The sequence below is a fragment of the Homo sapiens genome, chromosome 2 (genome assembly GCF_000001405.40).
Source record: "Homo sapiens chromosome 2, GRCh38.p14 Primary Assembly".
Taxonomy (NCBI): Eukaryota; Metazoa; Chordata; class Mammalia; order Primates; family Hominidae; genus Homo; species Homo sapiens.
In genome coordinates this window covers 213110474-213126641 of record NC_000002.12, presented here as the reverse complement: position 1 = coordinate 213126641, position 16168 = coordinate 213110474, and the positions used below count along the sequence as shown (strand labels likewise).

Genomic DNA, 16168 nt, shown 5'->3' with positions numbered 1-16168 from the left:
ACTATTTCAAATGTTTCTGTCTCCTTTTTACCATCATTTACTTTGTTGTTTAATAATTACAAATTATTTATAAGCTTAAAGCATCTCAGTGTTTCTTTCTGTAATCTGGAGGTGATTTATTACCAACTCTATATGGTCAGGAAAGTAGGAAATTCTTCTCTTGTAAAATACAATTTTAACCTTAAAACGATAATCTCATAAAAAACAACTCTAATGTTTATTTATTACCGGTACCTCCTAGGATGCCATTGTGGGAAGCTAGGATTAAGGCAGCATTGACCCTACTCTCAAAGGAGCTTAGATTTTAGAGAAAGAAAGGCAGAAATCAACACACATAACATAAGGGTGTGAAGAAATGGGAAAAGTGGTAGGGGAAATGTCAACCCTGAAACCATCCATTACGTAAGTTCTGAACTGGAACTTTGGTGTTATGGCATGATAGTGCTAGGGATGATGGGGTGTGGGTGATAAACTTCATCCCACAGGGGATGTGGCCAGCATTACAAAATTCTGACATAGTGTGGGGCTAAAGAGCAGTCTAAATAGAGATTCTAGGTAAAAATGATATAGGAACATAGTATAAAGTTAAAACGGTAGAGAAAGATATAACATGAAAAGTAAAAGCTCCACCACTCAAGTACCCTAGTCCTCAGTTTCCTGTGCTACCAATTCCTTAATTATCTTTCCATAATTTTTTGGTATATACTAGTACAAATCATGTGTCTACATATTTTGTTTCCTTTCCTATTAATAGTACAAATAGGGTTGCATGGTACATACTTGCCCTATGACTCAATTTTTCATTTAGGATTTTTTTTTAATACCAACGTTGTTCTTGGGTGCATATAATACCTTTATACACTGATGATACATGGTGATTTAATTTGCTCCTCATTCACTGTTGGACATTTAGGTTGTTTCTATGTTTTTGTTATTATGTAGACATTGTTTCAGTGATATTCTTGTTCATTCATTTACCTTCTTTACATCCTTAGGATAACTTAGCTGTGTATTTGCTATGTCAAGAAGTCTGTGCAATGAATATTTTAGTAGATAAAGTGTGGCCAAATTGCTCTTTGGAAAGTATAACAATTTACACTACAACTAGTAATATGTGAGTGTCTGTTTTCTCCCCTTGACAAAAATGCATTTTATCCATTTTGGTTCATCTGAATGGGGGAAGATGGTATCTACGTATGTTTGACATTTCTTAATTACGGTTTTTTAAACATAATTTCAAATGTTTGTTGGTTGGAAATTCTGTATTTAATTTTTGTTCCTGAAGAATATTTCTGCTTCAGTGTCTGGGAGAAATTATAATTAAAAACTCTATTAGGAACTAGGAGAAAGAGAGAAAAAAGATTTTATTCGTGATTCATGATTTGAGGCATATTTATTAAAGGATAATGGCAGGGAATGGATGATTTGATGTTAAGTAGAAATTTTCAAATGTTATACACTCTAGAACAGAAGATGTGACTTTTATTTCTGTATCTGCTCTAATTTCACTAGTTATCTTGGTAAATCACATAAGAAACCCTTCCAAAGTATTTAGCATAGCAGTTCAATGAAGTTCAGGGGTTAATGAAATCTGAATTCTTATATCAAGAAACCTTGTCATCCATATAGCCATTCTATTAGGGGAAAAGATTGTGTATCTAATAAGAAGTAGCAAACAAAGAATACAGAAAGAAAAATAAACCTTTACTTAAAAATTATACAATTAATTACATTTAAGTTGCTAGGTGAGGTATAAGGGAATAGATACCTTGTGCAGGATGTAAGGAATAAGGACCTGATTTCTTTTTCTTTCCTATTTCAAGACTGGTAGAGAACTCTGAGTTTGTCAATTGATTAGCAAGTTGAATTCCTTGGAAACACATAGGCAAAGCCTACCCTTGAGAAAAGATGAAACCTGGTACTTTGTTGTTGTTGTATACTTATTCAGGAAATAAGTTGTATACTTATTCAGGTTTAGACTCACCCTGTACTTTCTACACATGGGAAACTGAAATACTCTTGAGAGCAGAGAAAGTTCATTGCATGACATATCCACTTGTACGTGAAAAATTATGCATCCAAGTGTGTCGTGTAGTTTTGTAGCTCCTGGTCTGTCCCGGGAACGGGATGGTTTGCAGACTGTTAGAGAGTATGCTGAAGGTTACCTAGGACCTGGGTTTGTTCTTTGACCTAAAGATAATCCCTAGGCAGAAGGCTTGTACCTGTATCCCTTTCCCCCTTCTGCACAATGGCAGTTTCATGACAGAGCTGATTGATCTTCTTTGCTTTTTGCCTGTAAAATCACATTTAAAAATATCAGGCTTCCAAGTTCTTTTGTGTGGCTGTGTGTGTGTGTGTGTGTGTGTGTGTGTGTGTGTGTGTGTGTGTGCGCGCGCGCGCGAGCGCATGTGTGCGTGCACACAAGGACATGCACCCATGCCATTCATCTCACTGAAAATAATCCTTGAATCAGTTACTTAAAAGTGACCCCAAAGGTCATTTAGAACAACTTCCTTAACAAAGCAAGAATATCCTTGACAGCATGCATGACAGGTGGTCTCTGGGATTTTGCTTGACTGCTTCAAGTGCTAGAGGAAAGGAAGTTTACTGTTCCATTGCTGATCAGCTCTAATTCTTAGAAAGTTCTTCCTTATATTGAGCCCTCATCTGCCTGTCTGAAATGTCACTGCTTTTTTTTTTCACTAAGACTCAAGCTAAATATCTCACAAGTTTTAGATGCTTTGTTATGTATTAGTGCTTGTAGAGCAGGCTTTCATGTAGGTTTTTAGAGTGTTTTGCATTGGCCCTTGTATTTAGAATACTATCATCATTTCTTCTGAGGAATGATGCTCTAGGTGTAGTGCTTAACATATATATTATGTCTTTTTCCACCTTTGTACCAACAGCTGCAAGTAAAGCATGTTAAGTATGGTAAATAACAAAACCAAACCAAACCAAACCCTGAATTTATTTTCAATAACTTGTATCTTATTGTTACTTTTAAGCACTTTACTCTTTTAATTTATTTATTTATTTTATTATTATACTTTAAGTTCTAGGGTACATGTGCACAACAAGCAGGTTTGTTACATATGTTTACATGTGCCATGTTGGTGTGCTGCACCTATTAACTTGTCATTTACATTAGGTATATCCTTTTAAGTCTTTTATTCGACAATTCAAATAACTTATGGTTAAAATAAAATTTTGTACAAAAACTATGCCTATTTTGGAAACAGAAATCCATTGCTTATGTTTCCATTTACATATACAATTTTGACTTTGTGCATAGAATTTTGAGCAGATACTATAAAACCTGATGCTTTGAGGCTTAAAAGTAGGACATAAAGTGAAGAAGGCTATAGGGAGATGTTACAAAACTCACATGAAGGAAGTATGATCATCTTTCAGGATTTTACTTTGCTTAGGTTGTGGAAATTCATCACGGTTTTCCAGCTGACATTTCTTAAGAAAGATTCCTAGGTGAAAAAGATAATATGGAGTCTACTGAAAGTGGTTGTAGGCATCCACATTTCTTCCTCTGAGGATATTAGCAACACTTGAATTAGCTTATGACTTCTTATTTCTCCCTTGCCTGAGTGGCAGTTTTACTGTGCCTTTATTGGATTTACTGTTGTAATTGGATATGGAATTGTGCCGGGAAGCATATATTTCAATATGTGCACCTTAGCAATCTAAATCGTTAGGATGGTGACTCACTCACATTTAACAGGGAAATTAGCTGGCTTCGTCTTTGTGTGAACATTTGAGGAGGAGCTGACCCTAGCTGCAGAAATATCACGTGTTCCAGGTCACCTGTGGCAAAATCTAGCCATGTGAAGGATTGGAGTTTCTTTTGATTATCTAGGCTAGATTTTGTCATCCACCTCTTTACTTTAGTTTGGAGAATTATTTAAGTAGGAGAATCACTGGCTGAGAAATGATTGGATATAAATTTAAGAGCTATGTTAGCCCATTTAATTATGTCACTGCAGATTTGGTAAGAGTGTTTCAGCAAGGTCACGTAGTACTTTTCTGGTCTGCCATCATGGCAAGAGACATTATGAAATTCTTAGGAAAGAATAATCCTTAAAACCAATTTATTTTTAAAATAGTTATGTCATAGGGTCTTTTTCTCAAACTTGCTTGATCGTAAGAATCATCTAAGATACTTGAAAAAAATAAACAGTCCCAGACCTCAACTCAAGTATACTGAATCAAACAAAGTGTTCAAGGGAGGAGGAGCCTGCGACTCTAATTCTGATAATCAGGCAAGTTTAGGAAATACTGTCAGATAGTATATGTGCAGGGACTTGGGAAAGAAAATAGTGGTTGCTCCAAGGAGCTAAGATATTACAGCATTTTACCATCAATCACTAAAATAGTCTCTGCTTTTCAGAAGATGGTAGAAGAACGTGACTGAACTGCATCTTTAGGGTTGGGTGGTAGGCAGGGAGAGTTGTAGCTCTTCTCAAGAAAAAACTAAAAATGTAAGCATATATGCATAATTTTATTATTGTGGTTTGCCCTCTCTCTCTGTCTCTCTGTCTGTCTTTTCTTTTCCTCTACCTGCCTTTGATAATTTTTCCTTTGCTTGGCTTTCTAGGTCTTTTTGATTGAGATGTTTTATAAAATCATGTGAATATTTTCACACTGTATTTTATTACACTCTCTATTATTTATTTCTGCACTTCTCTCTCAGTTGTATTCCTTCAGCCTGTTGACACAAAATAGACACATGTTCCTGTTTCAGCCAGGGAGTTTGTGCATCTGTTGACACTTCAGAAATAATCAGTTTAGATTTCAACAGCTGATTAGTGTGCTGTTCTAACCAAACTGAGAAGGAACTCTTCAGAATGGAAACAGATATTATTCTATTTAGTTTTTTGTACAAATATGTAATAATGGCCATTTTAAACCAATGCTGTGGTTATAAAAGGCCTTTGCTGAAGTTTTGTTTTTCTTTATTGTACCTCAAAGAGGCTATCAAAATGTTTAGTGACCAGTATTCCACAAGTTGTAATATGCCAGGGGTAATCACAAACATTTCATAATGGTCCTTGTATTTATAGCAACTCAATGAATGTTAGAAAGAATATTGGTAGAATTCCAGGAATATCATACATGATCTGCTAACAGTTTCAGAACTCCAGCTTCCACATTGAATTACTACTGAATGTAAGAAATATAGCTAATGGTATCAGTGTAGCACCCAAGTACTGATTTGCCTAAGATAGGAAGCCATATCTCCATGAGCTGGAGCCAAAAGGAAAGAAGAGCTCAACATTTTAAATGCGCTTGTACAAATACTTACCTGGTTGACCTTATATTTCTCCAACAGTCTGAAGAAATAGATCAGAAATAGGATCAGGGAGCATAATAGAATCAGTAGAAATATTATATAATAGAAACGGAATCAGAAAGCATAAAACTAGTTTCTAGAAAAGATCCTATAGGATAACTATTATGCATCTTGATCAGTCAGCAAGTATCTATTTAGTACTTTATGAAAAATATTGTGTATAGGACAGAGAAGAAGAATGCATTTTTTCCTTTAAAGAGAATCAGATTTCACAGTTACATCATACATAAATAAAAAAATTAAATAGCAGTTTAATATTTTAGATGGGAGTTTGAGACATTAGGCAAACATAGTAAAATTATTTTCATATAATTAAAGTACAGCAGCTTGGGCAACATGGCAAAACCCTGTCTCTACAAAAAATACAAAAAATTAGCTGGGCGTTGTGGCACGTACCCGTAGTCCCAGCTACTTGAGGGGCTGAGGTGAGAGGATCCCTTGAACCCAGGAGGTTGAGGCTGCAGTGAGCCAAGATCTTGCAACTGCACTCCAGCCTGGGTTACTACGAGACTGTCTCAAAAATAAATAAATATATAAAGTGCAGGATAAAGTGATTTCTTAGGACTAATTGTAGGTCATCTGCCTTCCAGTTAGAGTTATAGAATTAATCATTGCCTTTCTGTAGTTTTGTCACCTACTTCTATTACAAAAATTTGTTTGCCATTCTTTTTTCTGAATGACTCCCCTTACCTGAGGAATGCAGTCTAATAAGCTCTTTAGCATTTTATACTACAGCCTTTACTAAACAGCCCAATCTATCTTTTTGTCTTCATCTCCTGAAATTCCTTTTCACATATACTGTGCTTCAGCCACAGATACTTGCCATGTCTTGAATATAACATATTCTTTCAAATTGCCTTTTCTTTGCATGAATCCTTCTCCTTTCCTTGGATTTCTGTACTTTTTCTCAACCAGGAAAACTCTCAATCCTTTTCAAAGGTCCAGTGTAACTGCTTATTTGAATTTTTAGTTATTCCCCATATTTCTATAGCACTGAGTATGTACATGTATCTATTATAGTATTCACCACATTGTATTGCTATTGTTTTATGTCTTTGTCTCCCATATTAGATTTTGAGCTCCTCTGGGGCAGACTATGTCTTGTTCATCTGTGTACTTATAATTTTGCCACTGTACCTGGCAGAGAATAGGTGTACCACTTCCCATTGTTTTATGAACAAATGACTAAAAGGAGAGTGAATGAACTTTCATGAAGTGGATGGGAGTAGGAACTGGCCTTGAAGAAAGAGAGATGGAGTTGGCTGCTTTACCTGGGGAATGAAAAGAGGGAGAGACCTGGGCTCACATAACATGTAGTCTGCCTTCAACAGCAAATTCTTTTCTCCAAACAAACAGATACTATCTCACTAAAGTCGAATAAGTGAGACTGCTTCTTTCTTTGCCAGGTACTTACTGACTACTAACTAATTATTTTTCTTCTCCTTCAAGATTGCTAGTAAAGGCCAATTTTAATCTGATATCACATGCCCTTATGCACACAGGATGTGGTAGGGATCCATATATGATGGTGACCTCTGAACCCGAGTCTGTAGAGAAAGCCTTGCATTCAGTACCCAAGTCCATTCATCTTGGCTTCAGGCATATTCTTATAACTCAGAGCTGACTAAGATGGATATGTCTGTAGCTGTGCCTCATCATAGGGTAGAGTATTAATACACAAAATTACTAGGGACTTCCTTATGTGTGTCATCTGTAACAGAATAACAACAGAACAGTGGTACATCCTTTCTTTTTTTTCCTCCTTCTCATGTTTCTTGTCTCCCACACTTTCATCTCTTGTTTATGCTGGCTCGCAGCATTAGATTTTTTATGAAACTTCCTCTGACTAAAGTTAGGGAAATTTGTTTCATCTCAGTCATTTGCTCTTTGTCGAGCTGACCTATTTCATTAAAAAAAATGAGGTTGTGGTAGGATGAGTACTTAGAATGCAGGAAGGGGGCATGCCACCAGTGCCCTAGCAAAGGTTATACAGATAGGGCTGGCTTTAGAGAATTACCTATGAATTGTTTTGGGGCCCCTTTTACTATTCTTTTTTTCTTTCTTAGCACTTCCATTTGCAAACCCACTTCCCTTGTGGTACTTGCTTGTTGCTTCACTGTCCTGCTCAGTCCTGCCTGCCTTTCAGGGTTGCGTGATTCTGATACGTGTCTTCACAATCTTTCTTTATTCAAACCAAAACCTGTCTGTGGACACTAGGAACCCTTTCCCCAGCTTTCCATCCTGTCATAGAACAATTCAAGTAAATGAATTCAAGCTAAGGTTTTTGAGACTGACATAGTTTAATAGATTACTGTTGTTTTATAGTGGCATAAATGCTTTAATAGAGATGTCTCTAGAAATTGGTTCCCAAGCCATAGTAGTAAATTTCTGATAATGGAGATTTCAGGTACCAGATTATGCTGGAGGGTATGGAGAAGAAGTTTGGGAGAGTGATTATTTTTCTTTTGTTTTCTGTCAAATTAATACCATTAAAGTAACTGTCTTTGCAGCCCAAAGGTAGTACCAGACCTGAGTAGAGACTCTTTTTTCACAAGCACAAAATATTAGCACTGATGACTGACTTTGTAGTTACAAAAGTGTTAGAGAATATTAGAATCTGAAAGTGACTCTTTGGCCATTCGTTGACCCTGTTCCAAAAATTTTTCTGGGAAAAAAAGTTTTAGGTGGCATCTGTAAAGCTAAACAAGAACTTTGATTAATATTCTTTCAACTGCCTTTTCAGTTTGTTAGAGTTAGTGTTTTTTACTTTTGTTTTGTTTTAATATAAGGAACTTCTAGTTATAGTTTTACAAATATAGAACACATTTACAAATGTCTTTAAATACCACATAACATATACTCGATAGTCTTAGAACAGAGCCCTCCACCTAGCTAGTCTCTTCTGGATAAGCAGTTCTCAGTCATGTGTAGTGTTGAAAAGGTGTGCTCATTTAATTATTTCCACAGTTGTCAAACCTCTGCCATGGAAAAGAATTTCAACCATTTTGATAAAGCCCCTATAAAACCACAGCTTCTAAATATCCTTAAAAATGGAAAGCCACAGGTATACAAAATATATTTTGCAAAAATATACCAAGTGTTTCTATTGTGGTGTCCAATTCACTTATTCTAGAATAGAAGGAAAGCCTGGTGTGTTGGAAGACAGAGTAAAAAGTCATTAATGTAACAGAGATTGTCTTTTAAGTCCATTTATAAGCCGTCTCTCTTTTTTTAATGAGAATGCCTTTTTGTTCTGTATCCTGATTATGGTAGTGGTTATAAGAATCTATGCATGTTGTAGAACTGAATGCTAAAAGGAAAAAAATGCTCATGTTTTTTGTATGACAACTTTAAAAATAAAATGAAGGGGTTAAAGAATGTCCTTTTCACTTGAAACACTGCTAAAAATGGTGGTTAAATTCCATTGAAAGAAACAACAATAAAAAGGCTTAGTTAATGTGGCAATTGTAGTAGGGTTAATAGTATTATACAAACTAACACTATGAGGAAATACATTTTAAATCACAAATCAGAACTTGGGAAATACACTTTCCCCTGTTCATTGTCAAGAGTGGGAAACGGAAGTATTGTAATTAGCCTTCTGGTGCAAGTGGCAATAAATGCAGTTGCAGTGACTGCAGTGATGGATGTAGGGACTCAGGATCAGAATTTGAAGAGGGTAGACCTAGAGTAATTGTTAGAGCCCCTGCCCTTAGCAGAGCATGTCTTGACTGTTGTGCAGTTAGCAGCTCCTTGTGCCTAGCATTTTTTCTGGAGTAGGTGTTCAATAACTACTGATTAAATTCTGGGGCCTAGGTTCAAATCTTGGCTCTACTTACCAGCTATGTGATCTTGGATATGTTACTTAACCTCTCCATGCCTCATTCCTCTCAGCCCTAAAGGGTTGAAGAACATCTCTCTCATAAGGCTGTTGGGAGAATTAAATGATATTAAGCTTTTAAATCTCTTAGCAAAGTATGGAGCATATAATAAGTGTTCCAATAAATGTGAGATATGATTATTCAGTAACTGTGGGTTGAATGGCAGTATCTCGTAAGGCTTGTGTTGGAGAGGCAGTGTTGAATGACAGTTGCTCCTTTCAGTGCTGGTCTGTTTATTGGGGTCAGGAGTTTTTGTGAAATTAATTTCTTTCGCTGTTCAGCACAGAATACTCAGATGCCTAATATTTTAATATTTGTTTCTTCTCTTCCTTATGTACCTCAAATTCTGGGCTTTTTACCTACGGAATTTTACCCTAAGTGCTGTTGAGTACAAATTACGAGGTACAACAGTTAGATGAATTTTTTATAATATGGGTTACTTTTTCCAAATTGTGATTATTGGATGTGAAAATTGTGATTTTTATAAATTATATTTTAATGATATATGTTTTTTAATAAACATTTTTGATAGAATGAATGCAGGTTAATTAAGGAGAAGGGGAACATGCACAAGTAAAAGGAAGTCAGGGCTAAAGCAGTCATAATTGTACATTCAGAGCCAATTACCATACAAAATGATAATAGCAGATTTTTGTGTGTGAGACAGGGTCTCACTCTGTCACCCAGGCTTGAGTGCAGTGATGCGATCATGGCTCAGTGTCAACTTCGACCTCACAGCCTCAGGTGATCATCCCACCTCAGCCTTCCAAGTAGCTGGGACTACAGGCACAGGCCACCCTGCCTGTATAATTTTTTAAATGTTTTTTGTACAGACAAGATCCCACTGTGTTTCCCAGGCTGGTCTTGAACTCCTGGACTCAAGCAATCCACCCGCCTTGGCCTCCCAAAATGCTGGGATTACAGATGTGAGCCACTGTGCCCCCAGCCTGCAGAAATTCTTAAAGAGCATTTACTGTGTATTAGGCATTGTTCTAAGTGCTTTGCATATAATTCACTTAGCAACTCAAAGTATATCTGTTTAGATTATTTTCTATGACCATGTAAACATGGAAATGGATGGGATTGTATAATAGAAATTATTTATGACATAATTAATTTTCCTTTAACATTGTACGTCCTCAACACTGTTTCATGTTTCTAAGCACATACATACATTATAATTATTAACAGCTACAGAGTAATTCTTTCTGTGGTAATGGACTAACTGGTATCTCTTTTTTGTGTTCCTGTAACGAAGAAAGAGTTTAACATTTAAGATGGTAATAATATGATTTTTGTTTTTCTAAAAATAGTGTTATTAACTAGAAGGTCAATAAAGTATAATCTGTTATCCCTTTACATTAAAAGAGGTTCAAACAGTGCTTTGCTATATTTAAGAGTTTAACCTTGTTTTTGCCTTGTTTTCCTTGTTTTACCCATACACAAAATAAGAAAGCTCTGATGTTACACAGCTTTTTTTTTTTCTGTCATACACCCATACATTGTAATAATGGGGTGGCTAATTATTTGCTAAATGCTTTAAAGTAAAATAAAATCCAAGTATTTATTACACCATGTGAATATTTTGACTTTTTTGGTTTACTGACATTTGGTGTTTAGCATTTCCATTGTCTTTTGGTTTTGACGGGAAAAACTTGGTCTAATACCAATTATGACTGTTCCAAGATAGTAAATGGAACATACTTGTTGAGATTCACATGGTTTGAGTCATGCATTGCCTTTACCTATCCTTTTAATTTATTGTTAAGGCAGGAGTTCAAATTATGGACTGGTTTCAGGGTGTGAACATCAGTCTCTGATTATAATTCAGGAGATATGTGGATCTGAAGTTGATGGACAGGCTGCCTGGTTAGCCAGGCAAGCTCCCATTATCTCAAGAACCTCTGCTGATTAGTTTGCTATCATTTTGAGAGACCTCACTATGAAAACAGACATTTTCCCAGGGTGGCAGAGAGATAAAGGAAATATTCGCTATGTGGTTAAATTCTTCCATTGTTTTATGCCTATGGAATTTTATTTAATAGTATAGCATATTTATTCAGGAGGAGACTAGTGTTGTTTACTCTCTAGTCACTGTTTTCCTTCCTCATACCTCAAATTAGGATCGTTTCATATTTAAGACATTGTAAGACATGATACTATTTTCTTAGACCAGTGCCTGACATTGATTAAAACTTCAGTAAACGTATCGAATACTGAATGAATGGAATTAGGTTTAGACCTGTGTAGGAACATGCAGTATGCTTTATTATAATGTATGCGATTGTATATATTTATTATCCAGCTTTTTCACAGCTGCCATCATCCAGCATTACCTACTATAACTGTGATTCCGCCTTCTTTGAGCCAGATGTAAAACTACACTGTTGTAACTTTTAAGGGTTAACGTGCATTTGCCTTCATTCTAGAAATAGGTTTATGCTTTTGTTTCTTTGATTTTTTTTTTTTTTGAGATGGAGTCTCACTCTGTCACCAGGCTGGAGTGCAGTGGCACCATCTGGGCTCACTACAGTTGCCTCCCGGGTTCAAGTGATTTTCCTGCCTCAGCCTCCTGAGTAGCTGGGACTACAGGCGCGCGCTACCATGCCCAGCTAATTTTTGTATTTTTAGTAGAGATGAGGTTTCACCATGTTGGCCAGGATGGTCTCGATCTCTTGACCTCGTGATCCGCCCAGGTTGCCCTCCCAAAGTGCTGGGATTATAGGAGTGAGCCACCGCACCTAGCCTGTGCTTTTGTTTCTTAAGAGGTTTTTGCATTGATCAAAATCATATTAAATCAGTTACTGTTCAGGTTCACATTTTCACACTTTTTGGAAGACTTTTGGAAAAATCTCTTACCCTGAGTTTCACATTCATTTTCATACACTTTATTTTGGGAAGGCATTTGGTTCATTCAGTGTCATACATCACATGGCCAATTAAATAATCACTATTAATTCCATTTCTCAAGTCCATCCAACAGTAAATAAATGGAAGAAATAGGAAAGGAAGAAAAAACTTGGTCTTTTTAAATATTTGATTTAATTCAAAATAACGTTTTAGATGTTTCTGTAACAATTTACATTTAGGATCTCTCAAAGTCAAACTATCAGAATACTTGTCAGAGTAAAAAAAAACCCGTTGCACCTTTGCCCCTATAACACACACACATCCACACCTTTTTATTATAGAGGAAGATTTGATTTTAGATTACTCTGAGGAAGAAAATTTTTTTTCAGGAAAACCTATTATCCTTAGCAAATATAAACACTGAAAATATATTGAAAACTTTCAGTCAGCTATTATTTGAACTCAAAATTTGGAGTTGGGTGTCAATGTTAGAGATTTTAGGAAGACATTTAAGGCAGAGAACCAGGCTCAAGAGATGTATTAGACGTAACTGATTATTACAGGTATATTAGGAGGAGTTTGGGATTGCAGTTGCAGTGGGAGATAGGCATTCTGGCCATTGCTAGCACTTGTCATCCTTGTGATGAGTATAAAAATAGCTATTTACCTTTATTTCTGTCAAACTTGTGTATCCTTGCCCCTCCTTGCTCAATAGATGCCAACTTTAAGAATATAATCCCAGGCACATTTAGAAACATGCTAAAACAAAACAAACAAACACCTCTCTCCACTCCTTCCCTAAAACAATTAGAAAAAACGTATGTGCCAAGTATCAATAGGTACAGCTGAAGAAAGAGAGATAAGGGGAAAAAAACCAAGCAACAACCAAACTTCTTACCTCCAAAGTAAATTAACTTTGAAACATGGTTCTTTGTTTTTTAGAGAAACAGACATTTGCAGAGTTAGGGGATTTCTTGAGATTGTACCTGAAAGTAGGTAGTATATTTACTAGAGGTTTTAATACCATTTGTTTTGTACAATGGATAAATCCCAGCAAGCTTATGTAATAGTAAAATTATGTGTAAGAAAAAGCTATTCTCCATGGGCTCTAAAGTTAACTTTGAAGAGGCCCCAAAAAAACTGAGTTAAGGAAGAGATAAGATCATTCTTTCCTCCAGGCTGATTTTAAGATGTTTAAACTCCTAAATACTGTAAAGATTAGGCTACTCTCTGCATACCATTTCAGAATGAGTTGGAGTTGTACCATTATAGATCTCCACTAAGTCTCTTAGTGTTATCAACTTCTTTGATAGTCATTGGAGCAAGGGACATCCATATAAAGTAGGAATAAAAGAGACAACTTAATGATTATTTAACTTAGCTAATATTTACTGGTTATCTCAAGGCCTTGAAAGAGAAGATCCAGTTCAGATTCACTTTAAAAAACAATCAGATATTTAGATTATATTGGCATGCTCATAATTATTTTTTTTAGATGATAGGAAGTCTGTATATCTAATGATTTCTCCACAGTTTTTGTATTTTGGGGATGCAAGTTTTTGCTTTTTTTAGCAACTGTAGGATCAAGGGAAATGTTTTGTCAAACAAATCAAATATAATATTTCAAACATATATTTATATGTATTAATTCATTTAATCTCAATAAAACCCTATGAGGTAGATGCTAGTATTGCCCCGCTGTTATAGATGAAAAACTGAGGTGCAATTAAAAGCCATTAAGAGGTAAAGCTGTGATTCAAACCTTGGTTGCCTAGTTCCAGAATCCTTCGTCTTAGCTAATATGATATTTCTAACACTGTAAATTTTAATTTATTATGGGTTGGGGAATCGGTGTAATGTATAGAAACCAACACTTTAGTAAAAATGATATGGAATAGAAAACGTTAGAATATGGAATATTGAGCTGGGCCCAGTGGCTTGCACCTGTAATTTTAGCTATGCAGAAGGCTGAGGCAAGAGGATCACTTGAGCCCTGGAGTTCATGGCTAGTGAGCTGTGATCGTGCCACTGCACAATCTGTCACTGGGAGACAGGGTGAGACCCTGTCTTAAAAAAAAAAGAAAGAAGGAAAGAACTATGATTATGTGTAGTATTGTTTCATTAAGCCATTTTCATAAACATTAATATGTATTTAGACATACATAGACATATGTATATAGTGAGTTGCAATAAAAATATATTTTTTATTGTCTGTCTGGGTCAAAAAAAAGTTTGCAAGCCACTGAACTACACAATCTCAATACCTTGAAAATAGTTGATGTTCAGTAAATCTGTACTAAGTTGAATTAATGTATTGTTAAATAAAAAATAACCCATAAACAGTGTTAGGATAAAATACTTCTGCTGAGCATATAATTTCCCTATGGAGTAGGACTGAAAATGTTAGTCTCACAGTTCTTAACCAATGAAACTGTAATTATCAAACATAATCTATTAGTTTATACCTGCTCCTCAACCTAAAGTTCTCCTCTGCAAATCTTTCTGGTTGGTAATTTTTTATTGCTTTAAGGCTTGGCCTCTTGTCCTTTAACAATATCAAGTAATAATAGTCCAAAAAGAAGAGGCAGTTTCTAAAAAAATAAATTACAATTTGAATTCCCTGAAAGTAATAATTTGTTATTAACAAAAGAAATTTATTTCAGCAGTGCAAGGATGGATCAATAATAGGAAATCTAATATTTATCATATTAAACTAAAGAGAACAATCATATGATTTTCTCTATAGACAGTGAAAAAACATAGGACAAAAATTAACAACCATTCTCTACACCCAGTAAACAGAAATAAAGGGAAACTTCTTCATAGTGATCAAATGTATGTATGTGAGTCCAAAAGCCATTATGATTCATAGGAAAACACATACGCATGCTCAGTAATTTCAGAAACTAGGTAGATTTTGTTTGTTCTCTTTACTCTTTTTTAATATTGTGCTGGACGAAACTGCCAATGGATTTAGATAATAAAAAATAAGATTATAAAAATTTGATAGGTAGAGATAAAATAATCACTTTTTGCAGATGGTATGTTTTGTATCCATAAACTGCAGAGAATCAGCTGAAAGACAAATAATTCATAAACAATAAAATAATTTAGTAATAGGGCAGTTTAAATTAACATGCCAATATTTAAATGTGTAATATTTGTATTAAAGAACATGCAGAAGCGTACTTAAAATGGGGAAGATATACTGTGAAGTATTCTTTCACAGGTAGATGCAATATTGCTTATATCTTATACTGAACTTCAGGATAAACTCTGAATTGGAACAAAGATATATACATGAAAGTTAACCATATAAGTAATAGAAGAAAATGTGAAAGTCTTATTATGGTCTTACTATGGGAAGCTCTTTTTAATAAAATTCAATATCTAAAAGTCAATTTCAAAGGATTAATTCATTTAAAATAATAAAAATTTCTACATGGCAAAAAATAGCATAAATAAAACCAAAAGGTAAACAACAAGCTGGAGGTAAAATTTGCAACTCATATGATGACTTAAACGGTTAATCTCTAATACATAACAGCTCCTAGTAATTCCTGAAGTACAGTAAGTATCTAATAGAAATTTGGTTAAATTATTCTAACACACAGTTCACAGAAAAATACCATTGGCTCCTACACATATAAAGTTTTTCTTAACTTCACCCAAAATAGGAGGTATATAAAACTATACTGACATAGCATGTCTAATTCATTATATTAGCAAAAAACTGAAAATTTTGTGTCATGCTGTGTTGGCAAGGCTGCAAGGAAACAGGGCCTTTTATGTATTGTTGATGGGAGTATAAATTTATATAAATGTGAATTGGAACAAATGCTTATAAACTTTGACTCAGTACTCCTGTTTCTACAAATTTATCTTATAATAATTTGTCAAATGTTGAGTGCACAGATTTATTCATTGCAGCATTGTTTTTCATATCAAAAGATGGGAAACATTGTGCAAACAATGCCCATCAGTAGTGGATTGATTAAATAAATTAGGTATATCCAATAATTGAATATTATGCAAGTATATAAAAAATAAGAATCATGAATATGGAAAGATTTCG

At 35.0% G+C, this 16168-nt stretch overlaps 1 protein-coding gene across 30 annotated transcripts in view; it reads left to right on the top strand.

The window, feature by feature from the left end:
• The window catches only part of IKZF2 (IKAROS family zinc finger 2), a 152759-nt gene that overhangs the window by 25815 nt on the left and 110776 nt on the right, over nt 1-16168 (top strand). Inside the window, exon 3 of one of the 30 annotated variants that reach the window (XM_011510818.4) lies at nt 1-16168. This exon is cut by the window's left edge and continues 21174 nt beyond it; it is cut by the window's right edge and continues 12597 nt beyond it. The exons of the other annotated variants lie outside the window; for them this stretch is intronic. The gene's annotated coding sequence lies outside the window, so the exon portion shown is untranslated. 30 annotated transcript variants of the gene reach the window in all.